The sequence below is a fragment of the Homo sapiens genome, chromosome 7 (genome assembly GCF_000001405.40).
Source record: "Homo sapiens chromosome 7, GRCh38.p14 Primary Assembly".
NCBI lineage: Eukaryota > Metazoa > Chordata > Mammalia > Primates > Hominidae > Homo > Homo sapiens.
Window position 1 is genome coordinate 5,554,815 of NC_000007.14, and position 21,879 is coordinate 5,576,693.

General features: G+C 55.0%; 1 pseudogene, besides 19 other annotated features; it reads left to right on the plus strand.

Annotated features, from left to right (window-relative positions):
* Positions 248–1,093: an enhancer, noted in NCBI's record as "H3K27ac-H3K4me1 hESC enhancer chr7:5594693-5595538 (GRCh37/hg19 assembly coordinates)". NCBI's record gives its function as "activates a minimal SCP1, AML or CMV promoter by ChIP-STARR-seq in naive H9 embryonic stem cells {active_cell/tissue: H9 hESC(naive)}" and the evidence as "EXISTENCE:reporter gene assay evidence [ECO:0000049][PMID:30033119]".
* Positions 248–1,175: a biological region, named in NCBI's record as "H3K27ac-H3K4me1 hESC enhancer GRCh37_chr7:5594693-5595538".
* Positions 366–725: a silencer, noted in NCBI's record as "silent region_17920". NCBI's record gives its function as "represses an Ori minimal core promoter by ATAC-STARR-seq in GM12878 lymphoblastoid cells {active_cell/tissue: GM12878}" and the evidence as "EXISTENCE:reporter gene assay evidence [ECO:0000049][PMID:35858748]".
* Positions 1,006–1,175: a silencer, noted in NCBI's record as "silent region_17921". NCBI's record gives its function as "represses an Ori minimal core promoter by ATAC-STARR-seq in GM12878 lymphoblastoid cells {active_cell/tissue: GM12878}" and the evidence as "EXISTENCE:reporter gene assay evidence [ECO:0000049][PMID:35858748]".
* Positions 1,094–1,939: an enhancer, noted in NCBI's record as "H3K27ac-H3K4me1 hESC enhancer chr7:5595539-5596384 (GRCh37/hg19 assembly coordinates)". NCBI's record gives its function as "activates a minimal SCP1, AML or CMV promoter by ChIP-STARR-seq in naive H9 embryonic stem cells {active_cell/tissue: H9 hESC(naive)}" and the evidence as "EXISTENCE:reporter gene assay evidence [ECO:0000049][PMID:30033119]".
* Positions 1,094–1,985: a biological region, named in NCBI's record as "H3K27ac-H3K4me1 hESC enhancer GRCh37_chr7:5595539-5596384".
* Positions 1,326–1,615: a silencer, noted in NCBI's record as "silent region_17922". NCBI's record gives its function as "represses an Ori minimal core promoter by ATAC-STARR-seq in GM12878 lymphoblastoid cells {active_cell/tissue: GM12878}" and the evidence as "EXISTENCE:reporter gene assay evidence [ECO:0000049][PMID:35858748]".
* Positions 1,726–1,985: a silencer, noted in NCBI's record as "silent region_17923". NCBI's record gives its function as "represses an Ori minimal core promoter by ATAC-STARR-seq in GM12878 lymphoblastoid cells {active_cell/tissue: GM12878}" and the evidence as "EXISTENCE:reporter gene assay evidence [ECO:0000049][PMID:35858748]".
* Positions 2,966–3,285: an enhancer, noted in NCBI's record as "active region_25599". NCBI's record gives its function as "activates an Ori minimal core promoter by ATAC-STARR-seq in GM12878 lymphoblastoid cells {active_cell/tissue: GM12878}" and the evidence as "EXISTENCE:reporter gene assay evidence [ECO:0000049][PMID:35858748]".
* Positions 3,256–3,804: an enhancer, noted in NCBI's record as "H3K27ac-H3K4me1 hESC enhancer chr7:5597701-5598249 (GRCh37/hg19 assembly coordinates)". NCBI's record gives its function as "activates a minimal SCP1, AML or CMV promoter by ChIP-STARR-seq in naive H9 embryonic stem cells {active_cell/tissue: H9 hESC(naive)}" and the evidence as "EXISTENCE:reporter gene assay evidence [ECO:0000049][PMID:30033119]".
* Positions 3,346–3,575: an enhancer, noted in NCBI's record as "active region_25600". NCBI's record gives its function as "activates an Ori minimal core promoter by ATAC-STARR-seq in GM12878 lymphoblastoid cells {active_cell/tissue: GM12878}" and the evidence as "EXISTENCE:reporter gene assay evidence [ECO:0000049][PMID:35858748]".
* Positions 3,656–3,725: an enhancer, noted in NCBI's record as "active region_25601". NCBI's record gives its function as "activates an Ori minimal core promoter by ATAC-STARR-seq in GM12878 lymphoblastoid cells {active_cell/tissue: GM12878}" and the evidence as "EXISTENCE:reporter gene assay evidence [ECO:0000049][PMID:35858748]".
* On the plus strand, positions 5,903–6,404 carry LOC100288712 (S100 calcium binding protein A11 pseudogene; annotated as a pseudogene).
* Positions 7,045–7,571: an enhancer, noted in NCBI's record as "H3K27ac-H3K4me1 hESC enhancer chr7:5601490-5602016 (GRCh37/hg19 assembly coordinates)". NCBI's record gives its function as "activates a minimal SCP1, AML or CMV promoter by ChIP-STARR-seq in primed H9 embryonic stem cells {active_cell/tissue: H9 hESC(primed)}" and the evidence as "EXISTENCE:reporter gene assay evidence [ECO:0000049][PMID:30033119]".
* Positions 7,144–7,438: an enhancer, noted in NCBI's record as "tiled region #4030; HepG2 Activating DNase unmatched - State 1:Tss, and K562 Activating DNase matched - State 1:Tss". NCBI's record gives its function as "activates a minimal TATA promoter and a strong SV40 promoter by Sharpr-MPRA in HepG2 and K562 cells {active_cell/tissue: HepG2 | K562}" and the evidence as "EXISTENCE:reporter gene assay evidence [ECO:0000049][PMID:27701403]".
* Positions 7,572–8,096: an enhancer, noted in NCBI's record as "H3K27ac-H3K4me1 hESC enhancer chr7:5602017-5602541 (GRCh37/hg19 assembly coordinates)". NCBI's record gives its function as "activates a minimal SCP1, AML or CMV promoter by ChIP-STARR-seq in naive and primed H9 embryonic stem cells {active_cell/tissue: H9 hESC(naive and primed)}" and the evidence as "EXISTENCE:reporter gene assay evidence [ECO:0000049][PMID:30033119]".
* Positions 8,097–8,622: an enhancer, noted in NCBI's record as "H3K27ac-H3K4me1 hESC enhancer chr7:5602542-5603067 (GRCh37/hg19 assembly coordinates)". NCBI's record gives its function as "activates a minimal SCP1, AML or CMV promoter by ChIP-STARR-seq in primed H9 embryonic stem cells {active_cell/tissue: H9 hESC(primed)}" and the evidence as "EXISTENCE:reporter gene assay evidence [ECO:0000049][PMID:30033119]".
* Positions 14,729–15,717: an enhancer, noted in NCBI's record as "H3K27ac-H3K4me1 hESC enhancer chr7:5609174-5610162 (GRCh37/hg19 assembly coordinates)". NCBI's record gives its function as "activates a minimal SCP1, AML or CMV promoter by ChIP-STARR-seq in naive H9 embryonic stem cells {active_cell/tissue: H9 hESC(naive)}" and the evidence as "EXISTENCE:reporter gene assay evidence [ECO:0000049][PMID:30033119]".
* Positions 19,373–20,484: a transcriptional cis regulatory region, noted in NCBI's record as "candidate enhancer chr7.769 targeted for multiplex CRISPR interference". NCBI's record gives its function as "positively regulates FSCN1 gene expression with high confidence in K562 cells {active_cell/tissue: K562}" and the evidence as "EXISTENCE:mutant phenotype evidence [ECO:0000015][PMID:30612741]".
* Positions 19,856–20,423: an enhancer, noted in NCBI's record as "NANOG-H3K27ac-H3K4me1 hESC enhancer chr7:5614301-5614868 (GRCh37/hg19 assembly coordinates)". NCBI's record gives its function as "activates a minimal SCP1, AML or CMV promoter by ChIP-STARR-seq in naive H9 embryonic stem cells {active_cell/tissue: H9 hESC(naive)}" and the evidence as "EXISTENCE:reporter gene assay evidence [ECO:0000049][PMID:30033119]".

Below are 21,879 nucleotides of genomic sequence, written 5' to 3' on the forward strand. Positions count from 1 at the left end.
GTGTGTGTGTGTGTACACACAAGTGCACTGGGGGGGGTGCTCGTTCAGAGCTAATTAGAGGTGTTGGCCCCATCTGCCCCCAAGTCGGTGATCCCTCAGATCTCTCTGCTGCCCGAGAAGAGACTGTTTCGCCCCCTTCCCCAGACGGGCCTTCTGGCATGGTTGGGGTTCGAACCCGGGGCCAGGGCTAGAGTCTCAGCTTGGGGTGCGGGGGCCGACTCTGCCCGGGCTGGGTGGATAGTTGTTATCGGGAGCTCCCAGGCCCGCGCGGCTCACGTGGGCCGCAGCTCGCGGCGCCTCCCGCGTCCCAGGGCCGCGAGGCGCTCCGGGAGATAAGCCAGGCCCCGTGCGAGTCCAGCGCGGACCCGGCCGGCCCCCAGCCCGCCCCTCACCGGCCCCCACCCCGCCCCTCGGCCGGCCCGGCCCACTTGGCCCGAGTTCCTCTCCATAAAAGGCGAGGTTTGGGAGCGCCCGGGGAGGGGGCGTTGGGTCCACGGGCCGCCCCCGCCCACCGTGTTCCCCTCCCTCACTGCGAGCCCTCGCCGGCCCGGGGGTGCAGCCCAGCCCCCCTGCCGCGACCCCCACGCCGGGCCCGTAGACCACGACCCTGACCCCAGTCCCCACTCCGGATCGGGCCCACAGCACCCCCCGCCGGTCCCCGCGAGTCCCGCGCTCTGTCCCCATTTTGCGATTGAAGAAATTGAGGCCCGCAGCGTGCGTAGCCCGGCTGGGGCCACGGGGTTGGGGACTGAACGGCCGGAAACGCCACACGTGCCTCCAGGTGGCAAGCCAGCTCCTCATAGACGCACACGAACCCTTCTGCAAGTGGGGTGCATGTGTATATTTACACCTATAGGGATTGGGGGCCTCAGGGATGGGGGGCCCTCCCCCGCACTTAGACTAGAATCCCCCCTCCCCGCAGCGCTGCCACTTAGCTCTTACGTGACCCTGGGCACACGATACTTTTACTCACAGCCTCAGTTTCCCTGTCTGTTAAATGGGGGGAGGTTTGCATCTGCCGGGTTTGCACAACGGGTTGTGCAAAGTACAACACCCAGCCAAGGGTCAGTGCAGGGGAACAGGAGGAATGGGGCAAGGGCGGGGCCCGGCGCACCCCCAGCCCCCGCCCTGCCGCACACCCCTCTCAGAAGAACCTGCATTTAGGGTGAGACGGATCGGACCTAAGCCCGCCCCGGCGAGACTGCAGTGAGACTTAGACATAAGGCACACCATCAAGCAAACACCGGGTGCTCCATAAATGCAGCTGCGCCCTCCCGCCCCACCCCACTGGGGAGCGTGAGTCAGCTCGGTCCAGGCGAGGCTGGGAAGCCGAGCCTTGGCTCTCATGTGGCTCCACCCGCCTGGCTCTGGGGCCGGGGCAGGTCTCGCCTCTCTCTGGGCCTCAGTTTCCCCTCTGCCTGCTGCAGGCCAGGGCCGGGCCTGACCCCCTAGGGGGAGGAGGGCGGCGAGGAGCCGGGCAGCGGGGAGCCCGGGGGTCCCTCGGGGGAGCGCGCCCCCTCCCGCCCCCGGCCCGCGGCCCCTGTGGCTCAGAGGCAGGGTGGGCCCTGAGCCGGCCACGTCCGCGGCCCACGAGTCCGCCATAAAAGGCAAACGGCGCGGGTCGCTCTGCCAAACTTAGTCATCCGGCCCGCCGGCAGCCGCAGCGACTTCCTCCGCGGGCTTCCCGTTTTCGGAGCGGGGCCCGGAGGGGGTCCGAGGTGTGGCCGCGACTTTCGAAATGCCCGGCTGCTTCTCCGAAGGGGCGGCGGAGGGGGCGCCCTCGGAGCCATGGGGGGAAGGGGGTATCGGCCGGGTGGGGGAGGGGATCTCCCCCGCCCTGCCCCGCCCTCCGGAATGATCCCGCGGCTCCTTAACCCCTGAGCTGCCGGGAGCGGGGGAAGGGGCTGGGCTCCGGCCGGGGTCGGGGCGTCCCTGGGTCCAGCAGGGAGTGGCCTCCCGGAAGACGCCGGCGAGGGAGGCCCAAGTGCCTGCTCCGAGAAATCTCAGCGAGGCCTCCTTGGGAGAAAAGTGCAAGGCGGTGACGTCCAGTCTGTAAAATGTGAAAAACGCCCAGGCCGAAACCACCCAGAACCCGTTCCTGCAGGGAGGAGGGTGGGTGGGACCAACAGGGGATCAGTCACTGCGCCAAGGCAGGGACTAGGGCCATGGTGGACAACGGGGGTCTACCTCAGTGTTCCCCAGACACAGACGGGTTCCTACTGTCTGGCCCCACTTATGTGAAGTTCTAGAACAAGCCCCACATTTTCTGGTGACAGCAAACAGGTGGCATTATTTATAGATGTAGGGGCAGGTATTTATGGGAGGGGGCACAGAGAAGAGCATGAGCTGGGGGTGGAGGGGGGCATCCACTGATTCTGAGATCCTATATTTCTTTGAGAAAACAACTGAATAAAACATAGCAAAATAATAATTGCTTCATTCGGGGTGTATTATAGTACCTTCTGTACTTTTCTGTATCTTTGAAATATTTCGGCTGGGCGCGGTGGCTCCTGCCTGTAATCCCAGCACTTTGGGAGGCCAAGGTGAGCGGATCACCTGAGGTCGAAAGTTCGAGACCACCCTGACTGACATGGAGAAACCAATTAGCCGGGCGTGGCGGCGCATGCCTGTAATCCCACCTACTCGGAGGCTGAGGCAGGAGAATCGCTTGAACCTGGGAGGCAGAGGTTGTGGTGAGCCGAGAACAGGCCATTGCACTCCAGCCTGGACAACAAGAGCAAAACTCCGTCTCAAAAAAAAAAAAAAAAGATTTCACACTTTCCAAAAAAGGGAAGAAAGCGAAAGGACAAAGGCTCAGAGTTGGACATGGTGGTCAACCACTGTGACCCTCAGTTTCTTCTTCTATACTCATGGGGCAATAATCTCTTTGGGGGTAATTAAAATGATATGCGATAATGCAGGCAAAGTGCTAAGTACGAGGCTTGGGCATAGAGTAGGTGCTCAGCAAAGGCGTCTGGTGAGGGGCTGCCCTTTCTCCCCGGGGGAAGGGGAGGACTTGCTGGGGTGAGGGTCCTGGATGGGAAGGTTCTCTGCCCACAGCTCTCTGCACCCAGCTCCTGCCTGGCCCGACCTGGCCTGGTTGGGAAGGCTTGTGTTTCTGACAAATGGGGCCAGCCAATCCCAGGCCCTGCCTGTGCTGTTCCATCCTGTCCTGTCTTGTCCCCGGGGCCAGGGTCACTCCGGGTGAGACTCAGAGCCAGTGTACCCAACGGGACACAGGCAGGCAGGTCACCAGACCTCCGATTCCAGGCGGCCGGATCTTCAGGCAGCCTGTCTGGGCAGTGAGGACACTGGGGTGGCAGGTGCCAGCCGGTCAGGCCTAGAGCCCTGGCCGGAGCACTGTTGCGGGATCTTAGCCCAGAGAGCCCCAGAAGGCTGTGGGCGGCCAGAGCCGGCCTGGGAGGAGGGCAGGAGAGGGTGGGGTTAGGGGAAGGACGAGAAAAGAGAAAGTAAAAGGAGAACAGCTACTTTTCCTGATGTTATTTTTGAACACCTGTGGGTATTGAGCCCTGCACCCAGGCTCTCTGAGAAAAGTCCCCCATGACCCTGATAGGGGAATTAAGACCCCAAGGCAAGGCACAGTGGCGTGTGCCTGTAATCTCAGCACTTTGGGAGGTCAAGGCAGGAGGATTGCTTGAAGCTGGGAGTTTGAGACCAGCCTTGGTAATGTAGCAAGACCCCATCTCTACAAAAAAATTTAAAAATTAGCCAAGCATGGTGGTGCACATCTGTAGTCCCAGCTACTAGGGAGGCTACAACAGGAGGATCACTTGAGTCCAGGAGGTCAAGGCTACAGTGAGCGGTGATTGTGCCACCGCACTTCCAACCTGGGCAACACAGTGAGACCCCGTCTCCAAAAAAAGAAAAGACTCCCAAATACAGCAAGGTCAAGCAGCTTGACCAAGGTGACCAGCTGAGAAGGGCAGTCAGGGGAAGCTGGGACCCAGGGAGAGAAAAAGAGAGATTGACAGACACATGGCTGGGGGGACTTGCAAGCCCTCGGGAGGGGGTAGGAAGCAGCTGCCGGGAATGGGTGCCCAAAGAAGCAGGAATGAGGGGTGGAGGGAAGGGCCTCATTTCTGGGGAAGGCCCAGGGAAGGGCCTCATTTCTGGGGAAGGCCCAGGGAAGGGCCAGGGTGCAGAGAAGCCAATGACAGCTGGAGAGTTGGGACTGCTGCCAGGACAGACTAGACGGAGACTGCTCTTGGGTGCCACCTAGTGGGAACCTTCTTTACTGTCATCCCTGGAGAGATGGACCTGTGACGTCCCCACCGGATGCCCCGCCCACCATGGGCATCCCCATCCCAATCATCCCTCACCACCCCCAGGCTCGGGTCGCGTCCCCCCAGGCTTTGATGGACAAGTGGCCATGGAAAGCATCCTCAGCTGCCCCAGGGTTCTGCCATCACCCATCCACTAAATGGTCCAGGGACCCTGGGAGGTATTGCTTTCCCCTTTACACAGATGAGGAAACTGGTTGGGCACGGTGGCTCATGCCTGTAATCCCAGCACTTTGGGAGGCTGAAGCGGGTGGATCACCTGAGGTCAGGAGTTCGAGACCAGACTGGCTAACACAGTGAAACTCCATCTCTATTAAAATTACAAAAAGGAGCCCGGCGTGGTGGCAGGAGCCTCTAACCCCAGCTACTCAGGAAGCTGAGGCAGAAGAACTGCTTGAACCCAGGAGATGATGGAGGTTGCAGTGAGCCAAGATGGCACCATTGCACTCCAGCCTGGACGACAGAGCGAGACTCTGTCTCAAACAACAACAACAATAAAACACAGATGAGGAAACTGAGGTCTAGAGGGGCGGCAGCACTTGTCCAGGGTCGTGGCCGACAAGTCGCCAAGCTGGGGAGTTTCCATGGGATCCAAGCCTATCCCCAAGCAGCCCAGGGGACACAGACAGCATGCAGGCACACAATCGCACACCCTGCCCCGCCACCCCTGAGCCTGCCGCATCGTCATTCCTGTGCAACTAGGCACCCTGAGTCTCCACATCGGGGTGGCTCTGGGGTACACAGACGAAGCAGAGAGCCGGCACCCCATCCTGCGTCTGAGGAATCCAGCTTTCCCTGGCTGGAAGACCCGGTCATGGTAACGCCCTGTCCTGCAGGTTCCGCCTCTGCTGTGACCTCCACCCCTTACCTAAATGCAGATTTCAGATTTCCGAGGTTAGCCTGGAAGGAAATAGCTTATACTGTACAGCTGAAGCATGGCAAAGGAAGCAATCTCCATCAACAGGAGTCTGTGGGCTGGGTGTGGTGGCTCACGCTTGTAATACCAGTAGCTTGGGAGGTTGATGCAGGACTGCTTGAAGCCAGGAGGCTGAGGCTGCAGTGAGCTATGATTGTACCACTGCACTCTAGCCTGGGAAACAGAGTGAGACTGTGTCCCCCAAAAACACATAAATTAATAAAATTAAACTAAATAAGAGACGGGGTTTTTTTTTTGGTTTTTTTTTTGAGACAGAGCCTCACTCTGTCACCCAGGCTGGAGTGCAGTGGCACGATATCGGCTCACCGCAACCACCACTTCCCGAGTTTAAGCGATTCTCCTACCTCAGTCTCCCAAGTAGCTGGGACTACAGGCGCCCGCCACCACGCCTGGCTAATTTTTTGGATTTTTAGTAGAGATGGGGTTTCGCCATGTTGGCCAGGCTGGTCTCGAACTCTCAAGCTCAGGCAATCCACCCGCCTCGGCCTCCCAAAGTGCTGGGATTACAGGTGTGAGCCACCACGCCCAGCCATGAGACAGAGTCTTGTCATGTTGTCCAGACTGGTCTCAGACTCCCCAGCTCAAGCAATCCTTTTACCTCGGCCTCCCGAAGTGCTGAGGTTACAGGTGTGAGGCACTGCACCCAGCCAGGAAACTTTGATTAAGGCTCCCACGCCTTGCTCAGCTCCAGCCCTGCAAAAATCTCCAGCCCTGCAGAGACTGAGCATCGAGTCCCTGATTTCTCTTTTCCAGAAGTATGTGGGAAAGGGTGGTTATAACTGCACTCTCTCCAAGACGGAGTTCCTAAGCTTCATGAATGCAGAACTGGCTGCCTTCACAAAGAACCAGAAGGACCCCGGGGTCCTTCACCGCATGATGAAGAAACTGGGCACCAACAATGACGGGCAGCTAGATTTCTCAGAATTTCTTAATCTGATTGGCGGCCTAGCTATGGCTTGCCATGACTCCTTCCTCAAGGCTGTCCCTTCCCAGAAGCGGACCTGAGGACCCCTTGGGCCTAGCCTTCAAACCCACCCCCTTTTCTTCCAACCTTTCTGTCATCATCTCCACAGCCCACACATCCCCTGAGCCCAGCACACCAACCACCTCATGCAGGTCCCACCTGCGGATGGTAATACAACAATGTCACTTTTTTAAAACATGAAAAAAAAATTTTTTTAAAAAGACAGGCCAGAACTAGTGGCTCATGCCTGTAATCCCAGCACTTTGGGAGGCCGAGGCGGGCGCATCGCCTGGGGTTAGGAGTTCAAGACCAGCCTGGCCAACATGGTGAAACCCTGTCTCTACTAAAAATACAAAAATTAGCTGAGCGTGGTGGGCACCTGTAATCCCAGCTACTTGGGAGGCTGAGGCAGGAGAATCGCTTGAACACGGGAGGCAGAGGCTGCAGGGAGCCGAGACAGCACCACTGCACTCCAGCCTGGGCAACAGAGCAAGACTCCATCTCCAAAAAAATAAACAAATAAACAAAATGCCAAGAGTATGCTGATGTAAAGGTTTAAGTAGAAACTCTGGTTGTTTTACTCATGTGTGTAAACCAAGCCCCCAAGATGTGCCACCAAAATACAGAGTTTGTGGGTGGATCAGCCTGTACCTGAGCCCCCTCTGCCACACTGACATGATCCTCATTAAAGAAAGAAAAGAGGGGGCAGGTGGATCACTTGAGGTCAGCAGTTTGAGACCAGAATGGCCAACATAACGAAAACCTCCTCTACTAAAAATACGAAAAACTAGCCGGGTGTGGTGGCCTGCACCTGTAATCCCAGCTACTCGGGAGGCTGAGGCAGGAGAATCACTGGAACCCGGGAGGCAGAGGTTGCAGTGAACCGAGATCACACCACTGCACTCCAGCCTGGGCGACAGAGGGAGACTCCATCTAAAAAAAAAAAAAAAATGTTACAATGGTAAACTTTATGTTATGTATCTTTTACTACAATTTTTTTTAACCTTGATTCTGAGAAGGGGTCCCTAAGCGTCATCAAATGCTAATCGCGTCCACGCCCCTGAAAGCTTACAGCCCTGGTACTTCCTATTGGTCCAGCCTAGCAGGAAGCTGGCAGCCATGAATTCTGGGAAATGTAGTGTGCAGCCCCCATGCCGGAGTCACGCGCCCGCTGTGATGGGTGGGCTCGGAGCTGGCACACAATAGTTCTGTGGCCGACATCCAGCTCAGCAGGGAAATTGTGAAAGGCACACTCGGTGCCCCTATTCCCACGCTGCCCACGAGCAGTCTCGCGCACGGCCACACAGACCTGGGCGCACACCTGTCCCCTAGTACCATCCAGCCTGTGGGCGCTCCAGGTCTGCAGTTTGTACCTGGACACCGTTGCCAATCTAAGTGCCAATCCGAGCCGCCTGCGGATCAGGCTCGCAGACGCTCGCTCGCTCTTCCCTGACGCAGCCTCAGCGGGAGCAGGGGCCTTCGCAGTGAGGGTGGGAGGATGTACAGGCTACAGGTGCCCCGGCGGGAAGGAGGTATCAGGCATGCAACACAAGTTACTGCAAAGACCCTGACGTGGGAGCCCGATTGGCCCAGGGTGTGGCCGGGGGAGACGATAGGGGTGAGGTGGGGTTGGCCACGTTGTCCATGAAGAGGCTTCTAACAAGAGACCGTGGCCAAGTCCCCCAGGTGAGCGCTGGGACGCTGCCTAGTGAATTGAATGACTCGTATTGTTCCCAAGGTTGCAGCTGTGGCCTCCGAAGTGACTCAGCAGAATTCCTGGGAGTTGGGGTGGGGGCGAGGCTTACTCCAGACGGGCTGGGGGAGGGGGCGTTGCCCGCGCGCTAGCCCCTCCTCCCAGCTCCTGCGGACCGCGGAGCTCGCCCACTCTCGCGTTCTCCCCTCCGCCCAGACATCTACAGGCACCAGCGGCGACGAGGCGGGGATGATGCTGGAAGACTTAGGGTGGGACGGCCCCATCCTCTCGGAACCTCCGTCCCTGCAACCGATTTTAGGGTGGGGATGGGGTGGGGGCTGAGTCTGCCCTCAAAACGGGGCTCAAGGCTCTTGGCTTGGAGCAGGCAGGGTTGGCCCTGTCCGGGCCCCCGGAGTGACTCAGCCCAGTCCTGGCCCTCTCCGGGACTAACTCTCTTCCTCTAAATAAAGGGAATCTTTCACCCAGCAGCCTGGAGTGGGTCCGCGGAGATAAAACAGGCCCTCCAGAGTGATCCCTTCCCTGGTGGCTGATGGGGCATGTGTGTGTTGGGAGAGAGGGAGAGGGCAGCCCTCCACCTCAGGCTGGGGCAGGCTGGAGTGAAGGTCCAAGCGCTGGACCCGAGCAGCAGCCTCAGCCCCAATCTAAAAGCTCAGCCCGTTTTCCCATGCATACAATGGGCATAACTGTCCCAAGAATGAGGCTTGCTGGAGTTACTGGCAAGCTGCGCGCTGTCCGCCTAATTCACCTAATTCAGGGCAAGAACCGCTCTCTGGCCCCTGCACCTGGGAGAGGTGGGGTGCTGGACCGAGGGCGAAGTAACAGCGTCCTGAGGGCCCATCCCCAAATCGCCTTCCTTAGGGAAGCCGGAACAAACGATGCAGCGGGGCGGCCCTGGATCTGTTCCTTCCTAAGAGCTGGAGCAGGTACAGCCCCATCCTAGACCCCAGCAACCCGCGCGCCCTCCCTCGCACCATCTCCCCTACCTGGTTGGTTGGGTTGTGGGGTTCCAGGCGACCGCCAGGTGGCGCAACCGACGCGCCTGCCGCGCCAAGCTGGGTGGGGCTGGACTCGTCCGGTGATGGGGCCCTTTGGGCAGCCAGACACATTTTTTTTTCAGAGTTTCACTCTTGTTGCCCAGGCTGGAGTGCAATGGCGCGATCTCGGCTGACTGCAGCCTCCGCCTCCCGGGTGCAAGTGATTCCCCTGACTCAGCCTTTCGAGTAGCTGGGATTACAGGCATGTGCCACCACGCCCAGCTAATTTTGTATTTTTAGTAGAGACGGGGTTTCTCCATGTTGGCCAGGCTGGTCTCGAACTCCCGACCTCAGGTGATCCGCCTGCCTCGGCCTCCCAAAGTGCTGAGATTACAGGCGTGAAGCCACCGCGCCCGGCAGCCAGACACATTTAAAAGTCCTTTGGGCCGGGCGCGGTGGCTCACGTCTGTAATCCCAGCACTTTGGGAGGCCGAGGGGGGCGGATCACGATGTCAGGAGATCGAGACCATCCTGGCTAACACGGTGAAACCCTGTCTCTGCTAAAAATACAAAAAATTAGCAGGGCGTGGTGGCGGGCGCCTGTAGTCCCAGCTACTCAGGAGGCTGAGGCAGGAGAATGGAGTGAACCCAGGAGGCGGAGCTTGCAGTGAGCCGAGATCGCGCCACTGCACTCCAGCCTGGGCGACAGAGCAAGACTCCGTCTCAAAAAAAAAAAAAAAAAAAAAATGTTATCCGTGCATGGTGGCGGGTGCCTGTAGCCCCAGCTACTCAGGAGGCTGAGGCAGGAGAATCACTTGAACCCGGGAGGCAGAGCTTGCAGTGAGCCAAGATCACGCCACTGCACTGCAGCCTGGGCGACAGAGTGAGACTCCTTCTCAAAAAAAAAAAAAAAAAAAAAAAAAAAAAGAAAGCCCTTTGAAGTGGAGAAAAGGTACTGGGTTCAAAAATGCAAAATAAGAGTCCAGTCGACGGAGTGCAGTGGCTCACGCCTGTAATCCCAGCACTTTGGGAGGCCGAGACGGGTGGATCACGAGGTCAGGAGATCGAGACCATCCTGGCTAACACGGTGAAACCCCGTCTCTACTAAAAATACAAAAAATTAGCCGGGCGTGGTGGCGGGCGCCTATAGTCCCAGCTACTCAGGAGGCTGAGGCAGGAGAATGGCGTGAACCCGGGAGCTGGAGCTTGCAGTGAGCCGAGATCGTGCCATTGCACTGTAGCCTTGACAACAAGAGTGAAACTCTGTCTCAAAAACAAACAAACAAACAATTAGCTGAGCGTGGAGGCACATGACTGTAGTCCCAGCCACTGGAGAGGCTGAGGCCAGAGGGATCACTTAAGCCCAGGAATTCGAGGCTGCAGTGAGCTATGATTGCATTACTGCACTCCAGCCTGGGCAATATAGTGAGACCCCCATCTTAGAAAGAAAGAAAGAGAGAAAGGAAGGAAGGAAGGTAGAAAGAAAAAAAGAAAGGAAAGGAGGGAGGAAGGAAGGAAGGGAATGAAGGAAGGAAGATTCCTAAATTCAATTCAGAAACACAAAACCCAACAACCTGACTAATGTCCTTTCTGCAATCAAGAGTAACTTTTTGTGTTATCTTTTGTCTCAGATACAAATCCACAAGTTAACCTGTTAACTTCACTGAGCCTCAGCCCTTAATCAAAAGCAGATAGTAAAGTCAAATCAAAGTTTCCTGGAAAGAATTAAATAATCCTTAGGCGGGCTCCTTATGCAAAGCAGCCCTCCCCTTGGCCTCCTGTCCAATATTCGAATGTTGTTTTCTTTTATTTATTTATTTACTTTATTTATTTATATATGACAGGTCTCGCTCTGTGCCCAGGCTAGAGTGCAGTGGCATGATCTTGGCTCACTGCAACCTCCACCTCCCAGGCTCAAGCCATCCTCCCACCTCAGCCTCCTGTGTAGCTGGGACTATAGGCACACACCAGCACGCCCGGCTAATTTTTTTTTTTTTTTTGACATGGAGTCTCACTCTGTCACCTAGGCTGGAGTGCAGTGGCAAGATCTCCACTCACTGCAACCTCCGCCTCCCGGGTTCAAGCAATTATCCTGCCTCAGCCTCCCGAGTAGCTGAGATTACAGATGCGCACCACCAAGCCTGGCTAATTTTTGTATTTTTTTTTTAGTAGAGATGGCGTTTCACCATGTTGGTCAGACTGGTTTCAAAATCCTGACCTCGTGATCCACCCACCTCGGCCTCCTAAAGTGCTGGGATTATAGGCGTGAACCACTGTGCCCGGCCTTTTTTTTTTTTGAGACGGAGTCTCACTCTTGTTGCCCGGGCTGGAGTGCAGTGACATGATGACATGATCTGGCCTCACCACAGCCTTAACCTCTCAGGCTCAAGCGAGTCTCCTGCCTCGGCCTCCTGAGCAGCTGGGATTATAGGCGTGTGCCACTACCACCTGGCTAATCTTTGTTTTTGTTGTTGTTGTTGTTTTTTTGAGACGGAGTCTTGCTCTGTCACCCAGGGTGGAGTGCAGTGGCATGATCTGGGCTCACTGCAACCTCTGCCTCCCGGGTTCAAGTGATTCTCCTGCCTCAGCCTCCTGAGTAGTTGGGATTACAGGCGTGCGCCACTATGCCCGGCTAATTTTTTTTTTTTTTTTTTTTTGATGGAGTCTTGCTCTGTTGCCAGGCTGGAGTGCAGTGGCGCGCTCTTGGCCTCCTGGGTTAAACCGATTCTCCTGCCTCACCTTCCCGAGTGCTGGGATTACAGGTGTGCACCATCATGCCCAGCTAATTTTTGTATTTTTAGTAGAGAGGGGGTTTCAACATGTTGGCCAGGATGGTCTCAATTTCTTGACCTTGTGATCTGCCCACCTCAGCCTCCCAAAGTGCTGGGATTACAGGCGTGAGCCACCACGCCCGGCAATTTTTGTATTTTTTTAGTAGCGACGGGGTTTCACCATGTTGGTCAGGCTGGACTTGAACTCCTGACCTTGTGATCCGCCCACCTCGGCCTCCCAAAGTGCTGAGATTACAGGCATGAGCCACTCCGCCCGGCCTAATCTTTGTATTTTTAGTAGAGATGGGGTTTCACCATGTTGACCAGACTGGTGTTGAACTCCTGACCTCAAATGATCCACCCTCCTCGGCCTCCCAAAGTGCTGGGATTACAGGCCTGAGCCACTGCACCTGGCCTAATTTTTGTATTTTTACTAAAGACAAGGTTTCACCATGTTGGCCAGGCTGGTCTCAAACACTTCTGACCTCAAGTGATACCCACCCCGGCCTTGGCCTCCCAAATTGCTGGGATTACGGATGTGAGCCACTGTGTCTGGCTGCAGCTAACTTATTTTAATAGTTTTATTTTTTGAGACAGGGTCTCATTCTGTCACCCAGGCTGGCATGCAGTAGCATGATCACAGCTCGCTGCAGCCTCAACCTCCTAGGTTCAAGTGATCCTCTTTTTTTTTTTTTGAGATAGAGTCTCGCTCTGTCGCCTAGGCTGGAGTGCAGTGGTGTGATCTCAGCTCACTGCAAGCTCCGCCTCCTGGGTTCACGCCGTTCTCCTGCCTCAGCCTCCCGAGCAGCTGGGACTACAGGCACCCACCACCACGCCCAGCTAATTTTTTGTATTTTCAGTAGAGACGGGGTTTCACTGTGGTCTCGATCTCCTAACCTCGTGATCCGCCCGCCTCGGCCTCCCGAAGTGCTGGGATTACAGGCATGAGCCACTGTGCCCGGCCTCAAGTGATCCTCCTACCTCAGCCTCCCCAGTAGCTGGGACTACAGGCGCGTGCCACCTTGCCCAGTTAGTTTTTGTAGTTTTAGTAGAGATGGGGTTTTGACATGTTGCCCAGGCTAGTCTTCAACTCCTGAGTTCAAGCAATCTGCCCACCTCGGCCTCCCAAAGTGCTGGGATTACAGGCATGAGCCACCATGCCTGACCCCTCTAATTTTTTTTAAAGAAGGAATTGGAGCAGCCACACTTTTGAGCTCTGCCCCCCGGGTTTTGTGTGATTCCAGGAAATCTTGGCCCCTCTCTGGGTCTCTATGTCTTGTCTCCAGTTGGAGACTCTGGGGAGGAGGGGAGATTGTGGCTGCCCCCATACAGCTTGCAGCTGAGCAGAGGCCCTTGGATTTGGGAGTTTGGGAATCCTCTTTTCCCTTGATTCTACTGGATTGCATTCAGTCCAGATGGAATGAGGTTGTGGGAAGGGGAGCCAGGATGAACTCTTAATGGCTTGGAAACAGATCTGATCTCCTAAGAGGACAGGAAGTCAGACTCCTTTTGTGGGTTACAGGGGAAATCATTCGGTAGTTGATTGGTAATGTCTGCCATGGTGCAAAATTGAGATTCAGCTGTGTATGTTGTTACCACCTTGGTCTAGTAAATACAGCACCTAGTAGAGAGTCAGGAAAGCCCAGACTCTGGTCCCAATTTACCACTGCCTTTCTGAGGTATCCTGAATAAATTAGCTCCTTAGAGCCTTGGTTTCCTAAACTCTAAAGTAAGACATAATCTTCCCAGGGTTGATTTGAAGATGCAGTGAACATATTGTCAGTTAGGATCTTCGTGTTGCAAGAAATAGAAAATACGATGGGTGCTGTGGCTCATGCCTGTAATCCAAGGACTTTGATAGGTCAAGGCAGGAGGATCACTTGAGCCCAGGAGTTTGAGACCAGGCTGGGCAACATACTGAGACCTCGTCTCCACCAAAAATTAAAAAATTAAAAATTAGCAAGCCAGGTGTAGTGGCTCACACCTGTAATCCCAGCACTTTGGGAGGCTGAGGCAGGCAGATCACCTGAGGTCAGAAGTTCGAGACCCACCTGGCCAACATGGTGAAACCCTGTCTCTACTAAAAATATAAAAAGTTAGCCGGGCGTGGTGGTGCGTGCCTGAAATCCCAGCTACTCGGGAGGCTGAGGCACAAGAATCGCCTGAACCCAGGAGGCGGAAGTTGCAGTGAGCCACGCTCAAGCTACTAAACTCCAGCCTGGGTGACAGAATGAGACTCTAAAAAAAAAAAACCCCAAACAAAAAGTTAAAAATTAGCTGAGAGCGGCCGGGCGCGGTGGCTCACGCCTGTAATCCCAGCACTTTGGGAGGCCGAGGCAGGCGGATCACAAGGTCAGGAGATTGAGACCATCCTGGCCAACATGGTGAAACCCTGTCTCTACTAAAAATACAAAAATTCGCTGGGCATGGTGGCCCACACCTGTAGTCCCAGCTACTCAGGAGGCTGAGTCAGGAGAATCACTTGAACCCAGGAGGTGGAGGTTGCAGTGAGCCCAGATCTCGCCACTGCACTCCAGCTTGGGCAAGAGAGCGAGACTCCTTCTCAAAAAAAAAAAATTACCTGAGAGCAGTGGCACAGGAGGCTGAGGTGGGAGGATCGGTTGAGCCCAGGCAGTGGAGGCTGCAGTGAGCCATAATTGCACCACTGCACTACCCTAGCCTGGGTGAGAGAGGAAGACCCTGTCTCAAAAAAAAAAAAAAAAAAAAAAGGATAAGAAGTGGAAAATACCAGTGCATCCTGGCTAGAACTGTCGTAAGGGCTTCTGTAACTGTGTAGAGGTGACAGGACTTCAGGTATGTATGATGAAGGCTCCAGCTGCATATCCCTGTGACTTCCTTAGCAGTGTCTTTCCCATGGGTCAGCTTTGTCTGTATTCATAGGTGGCCACATGCCTGCTTGAGGTCCTGGTGACTCCAGGTGTTTCCTACAGAGCAGGGTTCTGCGGCAGCAGTTCCAAGCAACAGCCCTGAGATCGCTGCTGATGGGGCAATTCAGGTTCACATGCCCATCCCTAGAGCGATGACTGCGTGGGAAGAGGGTGGCCCCCTAGGCACCAGAATGAAGATCTCAGCTGTCCTGAAATGTGTGGCAGTGCACAGCGTGGGGGGGAAAGAGAGATTTACAAGGAAATCCCTAGGCAGTCAGAGAGGGCTTGGTAGAGGATGTGGCTCGGGGCGGGGGTTGGAGGGGCGGGCGCTGTCGGGCGCAGCGGAAGACACAGGGAGGGTGGCAGGAGCATGGGATGTGGGTGTGGCAGGAGACCTTAGGGAAGGGAGCCTGCACCCAGGGATTTCGCAGACTCTCCAGGAAGCCATCGGGATCTAGGCCAGAAACCTCTGCATCCCCCATCCCCCATCCCCCACCCCAGAGCTCCTGCTGAGCGCCCCTCTGCCTTTGCCAGCAGGAAACCAGTGGAGGGGCGGTGAGGGCTGTGATCCAGATTCACCGGAGAGGGAAACAACCGGGAGGGGTCGGCAGGCAGGGCGTGGCCAAGGGTGTGCGCTCTTCAAGGCCTCGTGAACCCCAGGGCGCCCCCTCTCCAGCTGCGCCCACAATTGGGGGCTGACCTCCACTGCAGGACCCCAGGCCTTGCTCCCCCGGGACGCCTCTCTCGGGTGTCCCACCGCACCACTGAGGCCGCGCACGACCCTCAGCCACCGCAGCCCGCTTGAGCCCAGCTGCCCATCTCTTGCCAGCACCGCCTACTCCCCGCCCGCCACCCCACCATTGGCTTCCCAGAGCAAAGACCTCCTATGATTGGTCCATTTCCGCGAGGCCACGCCTCCTGGTCGGCACAAAGAGCCGGACCAGCACAGCCCGCCCCAACTCCGCGTGCTCCTAGCCCCTGGAGGCGCGGATGAGCCGCGGCCGCCACGGGGGGGTCGTAGTAGTGACTGCGACCATGGTGGCTGTGAGCACCGAACTCGAGCACTTGAGGAAGGCGCTGGCTTAGGGCCTGTCGCGCTGCCATAGCCTCGGATCCCACCTGAGAGGGGAAAATTCGGAGCCTGTCTACCCAGCCCCCAGCCCCGGGGCTCTAATCCCTCCCAGGGACTGACCCCCGCCCCCTTGTTCCCAGACCTTCCCTATTTTCTCTCCCTGCCCAGGGGAGGGGGATGGTGGACTTATTAGGTAACGGAACTGTTACAGTTAAGAAAACTGTAGCTCAGAGAGGGTAAACTACCCCGAGTCATACAGCAGTCGGGGGGAGCCCAGAAATAATACTGAGGGATGGGAAGGAAAGGGAGAAGCTGTGGCTGGTGTAATCCTCTACATCCCACTCCTCCCCACCCCTGATACACAGTTATGAGCTAAGCCAGGGAGGGCTCCCTGAGCACACATCAAGCCTGCAGGCTGACGGATTTTTTTTTTTTTTTTTTTTTGAGACGGAATCCCTTCTGTCGCACAGGCTGGAGTGCAGTGGCGCGATCTCGGCTCACTGCAATCTCCGCCTCCTGGGTTCAAGCGATTCTCCTGCCTCAGCCTCCCGAGTAGCTGGGACTACAAGCGCCCACCACCACACCTGGCTAATTTTTATATTTAATAGAGACGGGGTTTCACCATATTGGCCAGGCTGGTCTCGAACTCCTGACCTTGTGATCTGCCCGCCTCCTCGGTCTCCCAAAGTGCTGGGATTACAGGCGTGAGCCACCGTGCCCGGCCTTTTTTTTTTTTTTTTTTTTTTTTTTTAAGGAGTCTCACGCTGTCGCCCAGGCTGGAGTACAGTGGCGCTATCTCGGTTCACTGCAACCTCCACCTCTTGGGTTCAAGGGATTCTCCTGCCTCAGCCTCTCGAGTAGCTGGGATTACAGGTGCCCGCCAGCACGCCCGGCTAATTTTTGTATTTTTAGTAGAGATGGGGTTTCACCATGTTGGCCAGGCTGGTCTCAAACTCCTGACCTCAGATGATCTGCCCACCTTGGCCTCCCAAAATACTAGGATTATAGGCGTGAGTCACTGTGCCCGGCCAATTTCTTTCAAAATTTTGAAAAATTTTGAAACAATCACACACTTAAAGCTACAAATACAGTGCGAAATTTTTTTCAGCCAGGTGTGGTGGCCTGTGCCTGCAGTCCCAGCTATTGGAGAGGCTGAGATGGGAGGATTGCTTGAGCCCAGGAGGTCAAGGTGGGTGAGCTATGATCAATCTACTGCACTCCAACCTGGGTGACAGAGTCACACCCTATCTCTGAAATAAAAACAAAATAAAAAACAAACTAATTTTTTTCCTAGAAAAAAACTGAAAATAAGTTACTAGCCTGATGCCACAATCACCCCTTGTATTTCCTTCAAACAGGGTTATTCTGCTATATAAATGGCCAGGAAGTTAATACATTACTTTTGGGGTTTTTTTTGTTTTTTTTTTTTTGAGACGGAATCTCACTCTGTCATCCAGGCTGGAATGCAGTCACACGATCTCCGCTCACTGCAAGCTCCGCCTCCCGGGTTCATGTGCCATTCTCCTGCCTCAGCCTCCTGAGTAGCTGGGACTACACGTGCCCACCACCACGCCCGGCTAATTTTTTGTATTTTTTTAGTGGAGACGGGGTTTCACCTGCTAGCCAGGATGGTCTCGATCTCCTGACCTCGTGATCCGCCCGCCTCGGCCTTCCAAAGTGTTGGGATTACAGGCGTGAGCCACCGCGCCCAGCCTGTTAGTTTTTTGAGATGAAGTCTCACTGTCACCCAGCCTGGAGTGCAGTGGTGCAATCTCCGTTCACTGCAAACTCTGCCTCCCGGGTGCAATCGATCCACCTGCCTCAGCCTTCTGAGTAGCTGCGACCACAGGTGCTCACAACCAAGCCCAGCTAATTTTTCATATTTTTGGTAGAGACGGGGTTTCGCCATGTTGCCCAGGCTGGTCTCGAACTCCTAACCTCAAGCGATCAGTCGGCCTCAGCCTCCCAAAGTGCTGGGATTACAGGTGTGAGCCACTGTGTCGGCCAACATATGATACATCACTGCCATCTAAACCTCAGACCCATTTGAGTTCCTGAAGATGTCCCCAGAATGTCCTTGCAGCAGAAAAATCCAGCCCATGTGTTATTTCGTTCTTGCATACCTTTAATTTCCTTCGGGATGGAACACTTCTCAGTCTGTGTTTGGCTTTCATAACGTTGACTCTTTTTTTTTTTTTTTTGAGACTGAATCACTCTGTCGCCCAGGCAGGAATGATGCAGTGGTGCGATCTTGGCTCGCTCACTGCAACCTCTGCCGCCCGGGTTCAAGCAATCCTCCCGCCACAGCCTTTGGAGTAGCTGGGATTACAAGCGCCCACCACCACAACTGACTAATTTTTGTATTTTCAATAGAGATGGGGTTTCACCATGTTGGTCAGGCTGATCTCGAACTCCTGACCTCATGATCCACCCGCCACAGCCTCCCAAAGTGCTGGGATTACAGGCGTGAGCAACTGCACCCAGGCATTGTTTTGTATTTTTAGTAGAGCTGGGATTTCACTATGTTGGCCAGGATGGTCTCAAACTCCCGACCTCAGGTGATCTGCCTGCCTCAGCCTCTCAAGGTGCTGGGATTACAGAAATGAGTCACTGCACCTGGACTATTTTATTTTATTTCATTTATTTATTGTTGAGACGGAGTTTCACTTTTGTTGCCCAGGCTGGAGTGCAATGGCAAGATCTCGGCTTACTGCAACTTCTACCTCCTGGATTCAAGCGATTCTCCTGCCTCAGCCTTCCGAGTAGCTGGGATTACAGGCATCCACCACCATGCCCGGCTAGGAAAATGTATTTAGGTGCATCTGTATGAATTCCTATACCTCTTATGTATATTGAAAGCCAAGAGTTTACATTGATAGATCCTGGGGTGCACTCCAGTTTACAACTCCCTTCTCTGCCTTTGAGAACCTGGCTACGATTATTGTGATACATCTGCTTCTTTTTTTTTTTTTTTTTGAGACAGAGTTTCACTCTGTCGCCCAGGCTTGAGTGCAGTGGTGCGATCTTGGCCGGCTGCAACCTCCACCTCCTGGGTTCAAGCGATTCTCCTGCCTCCCAAGTAGCTGCGATTACAGGTGCCCGCCACCATGCCTGGCTAACTTTTGTATTTTTTTTTTTCTTTTTGAGATGGAGTCTCCCTCTGTCGCCCAGGCTGGAGTGCAGTGGCACGATCTCGGCTCACTGCAAGCTCCGCCTCCCAGGTTCATGCCATTCTCCTGCCTCAGCCTCCCGAGTAGCTGGGACTACAAGTGCCCGCCACCATACGCGGCTAATTTTTTGTATTTTTAGTAGAGATGGGGTTTCACTGTGTTAGCCAGGATGGTCTCGATCTCCTGACCTCGTGATCTGCCCATCTCAGCCTTCCAAAGTGCTGTGATTACAGGCGTCAGCCCCCATGCCCGGCCTAATTTTGTGTTTTTAGTAGCAATGGGGTTTTGCCATGTCTTCCAGGTTGGTCTCGAACTCCTGACCTCGGGTGATCTGCCCACCTCGGCCTCCCAAAGTGCTGGGATTACAGGCGGGAGCCACCATGCCTGACCGTATCTGCTTCTTTTTTTTGAGTTGGAGTCTCACTCTGTCGCCCAGGCTGCAGTGCAGTGGTGTGATCTCGGCTCACTGCAATCTCAGCCTCCCGGATTGAAGCGGTTCTCGTGCACCAGCCTTCTGAGGAGCTGGGATCACAGGCACGGGCCACCACACGCAGCTAATTGTTTGTATTTTTAGTAGAGATGAGGATCCACCATGTTGGCCAGGCTGATCTCGAACTCCTGACCTCAGGTGATCCGCCCGCCTTGGCCTCCCAAAGTGCTGGGATTACAAGCGGGAGCCACCATGCCTGGCCACATCTGCTTCTTTTGTCAACCCCTCCGGGTGTAGCACGTGTCTCCTGGGCACTGTCACCTTTCACCTTGTAGACCTGTCCTCCAGCCTTGCTGTCCTTTGGCAGGGATATCTCCTAGCCCCAGGACAGCTTAGTCACCCCTCCCAGGTCACCGGCCCCGCCTAATTGAGCTCCCTACCCTCAATGAGATCTCATCCTCCCCCATTTTGACTGTCCACCAAGCAGCCAGCTCTCTCCTACCCCACCACCCCCGAGCCCTCTCCACCCCATTGACGCTGCTCAGAGCCACCACCCTCCCCCACCCCACTGGGACGCCCACCTGGCTCTGCTCCAGCAAATGGCTCCGGGACTGATTATTCTGGAAGGAAACGGAAAGGGGAAGGAACTAAGGGAAGAGAAGGAAGGAGGCTTTCTCCGGTTCTTGTTTTAGCTTAAAAATTCATGCCCCGTGTGCACTTCAGTCTAGAACACACTTCCTTTTGTTTTAACGTGATACAGCGTTTTCACTATACAACTTCTGGTAAAATTGCTGCCTGGTTATCCGGGGGCTGTGTCTGGTCAGAGAGGGGGCCTGGCAGGCTGGGAAGGACAGGGAGGGGTGGGGGAGGGGGAAGACGGGTGGGGGAAGGTGGACGGGGCTGGCCGGCCTCCTGTCGTCTTCCTTCCCTGGACAATGGGCTGGCGGCTGCCGCAGAGATAAGGAGTCTTGTCAGGGCTGGGATCACAGCCGCCGGCCGACTGCCTGCTGGGGAAGGTCCCTTCCTCGCAGACCTGGCCAAACCACCCCCACCAAGCCCCGCCGCCTCAAGTGAGATCTCCTTTCATTGTACCTTCCTGAGAGCGAGGTCCTCAGAGCCATGCCCCAGGGTCACCAGGAGGCTGGCTGTGAGCTTGGCGTCTGGGGAGGCCCTTTCCCAGGCCGAGACACCTCCCCTGGCTCCAGGACACAGTCGCACAAAGATAATTGTTGTCTTTTTGTTTCTTTATTCTTTTTTATTATTTTTTCTTTTGAGATAGGGTCTCATTTCATCACCCTGGCTGGAGCGCAGTGGTGTGATCATGTCTCGCTGCAGCCTTGACTTCCCCAGCTCAAGTGATCCTTGTGCCTCAGCCTGAGTAGCTGGGACTATGGATGTGCACCACCAGGCTCGGCTGATTTTTTTATTTCTTTTGAGAGATGGAGTCTCACTATGTTGCCCAGGCTGGTCTGGAACTCCTGGACTGAAGTAATCCTCCCCCATCCTGGCTAACACGGTGAAACCCCGTCTCTACTAAAAACACAAAAAAATTAGCCGGGCATAGTAGCGGGCACCTGTAGTCCCAGCTACTCGAGAGGCTGAGGCCGGAGAATGGCGTGAACCCGGGAGGCGGAGCTTGCAGTGAGCCGAGATTGCGCCACTGCACTCCAGCCTGGGCGACAGAGAGAGACTCCGTCTCAAAAAAAAAAAAAAAAAAAAAAAAAAAATTCCTCCCTCCTGGGCCTCTGAAAGCGCTGGGATTACAGGTGTGACCCACTGTGTTCAGTTTAAGATTAAATTTATGTGAAGTAACTTATGTTACTTTCCAGCCCGGCCAACATGGCGAAATCCCATCTGTACTAAAAATAGAAAAATTTGGCTGGGCGCGATGGCTCACGCCTGTAATCCCAGCACTTTGGGAGGCCAAGGCAGGCGAATCACGAGGTCAGGAGATCGAGACCATCCTGGCTAACATGGTGAAACCCTGTCTCTACTAAAAACACAAAAAATTAGCCAGGTGTGGTGGCACCCGTCTGTAATCCCAGCTACTCAGGAGTCTGAGGCAGGAGAATCACTTGAACCCGGGAGGCAGAGGTTGCAGTGAGCTGAGATCGTGCCATTGCACTCCAGCCTGGGTGACAGAGCGAGATTCCATCTCAAAACAACAACAACAAAAATAAAAATTAGCGGGGCACGCTTGTAGTCCCAGCTACTTGAGAGGTTGAGGCAGGAGAATCGCTTGTACCTGGGAGGCGGAGGTTATAGTGAGCCGAGATTGCACCACTGCGCTCCAGCGCCTGGGTGACAGAGCAAGACCCTGTCTCAAAAAAAAAAAACAAAAACTTACCACACTCAAAGTACATAAACCTGCAGTACATCTCCTGGCATGGTTATGGGTGTCTAGGTCCGAATCGCAGCCTGTGGAAGCCCAGGGGGACAGCTCCGGCCCCAGTGGTTAGAAAGTGTAGCCCTGCCAAGTGGGGATGAACCTGATGTCGTAGTATCGGGGGAAGAAAAGGACCTAAAATTTCTCATAAGTTTCATGTTAATTACATATTGAAATGATAGTATTTGGGATATAGGAGTTAAATAACATACATTAAGAAATTTGGGCCGGGCGCGGTAGCTCATACCTGTAATCCCAGCACTTTGGGAGGC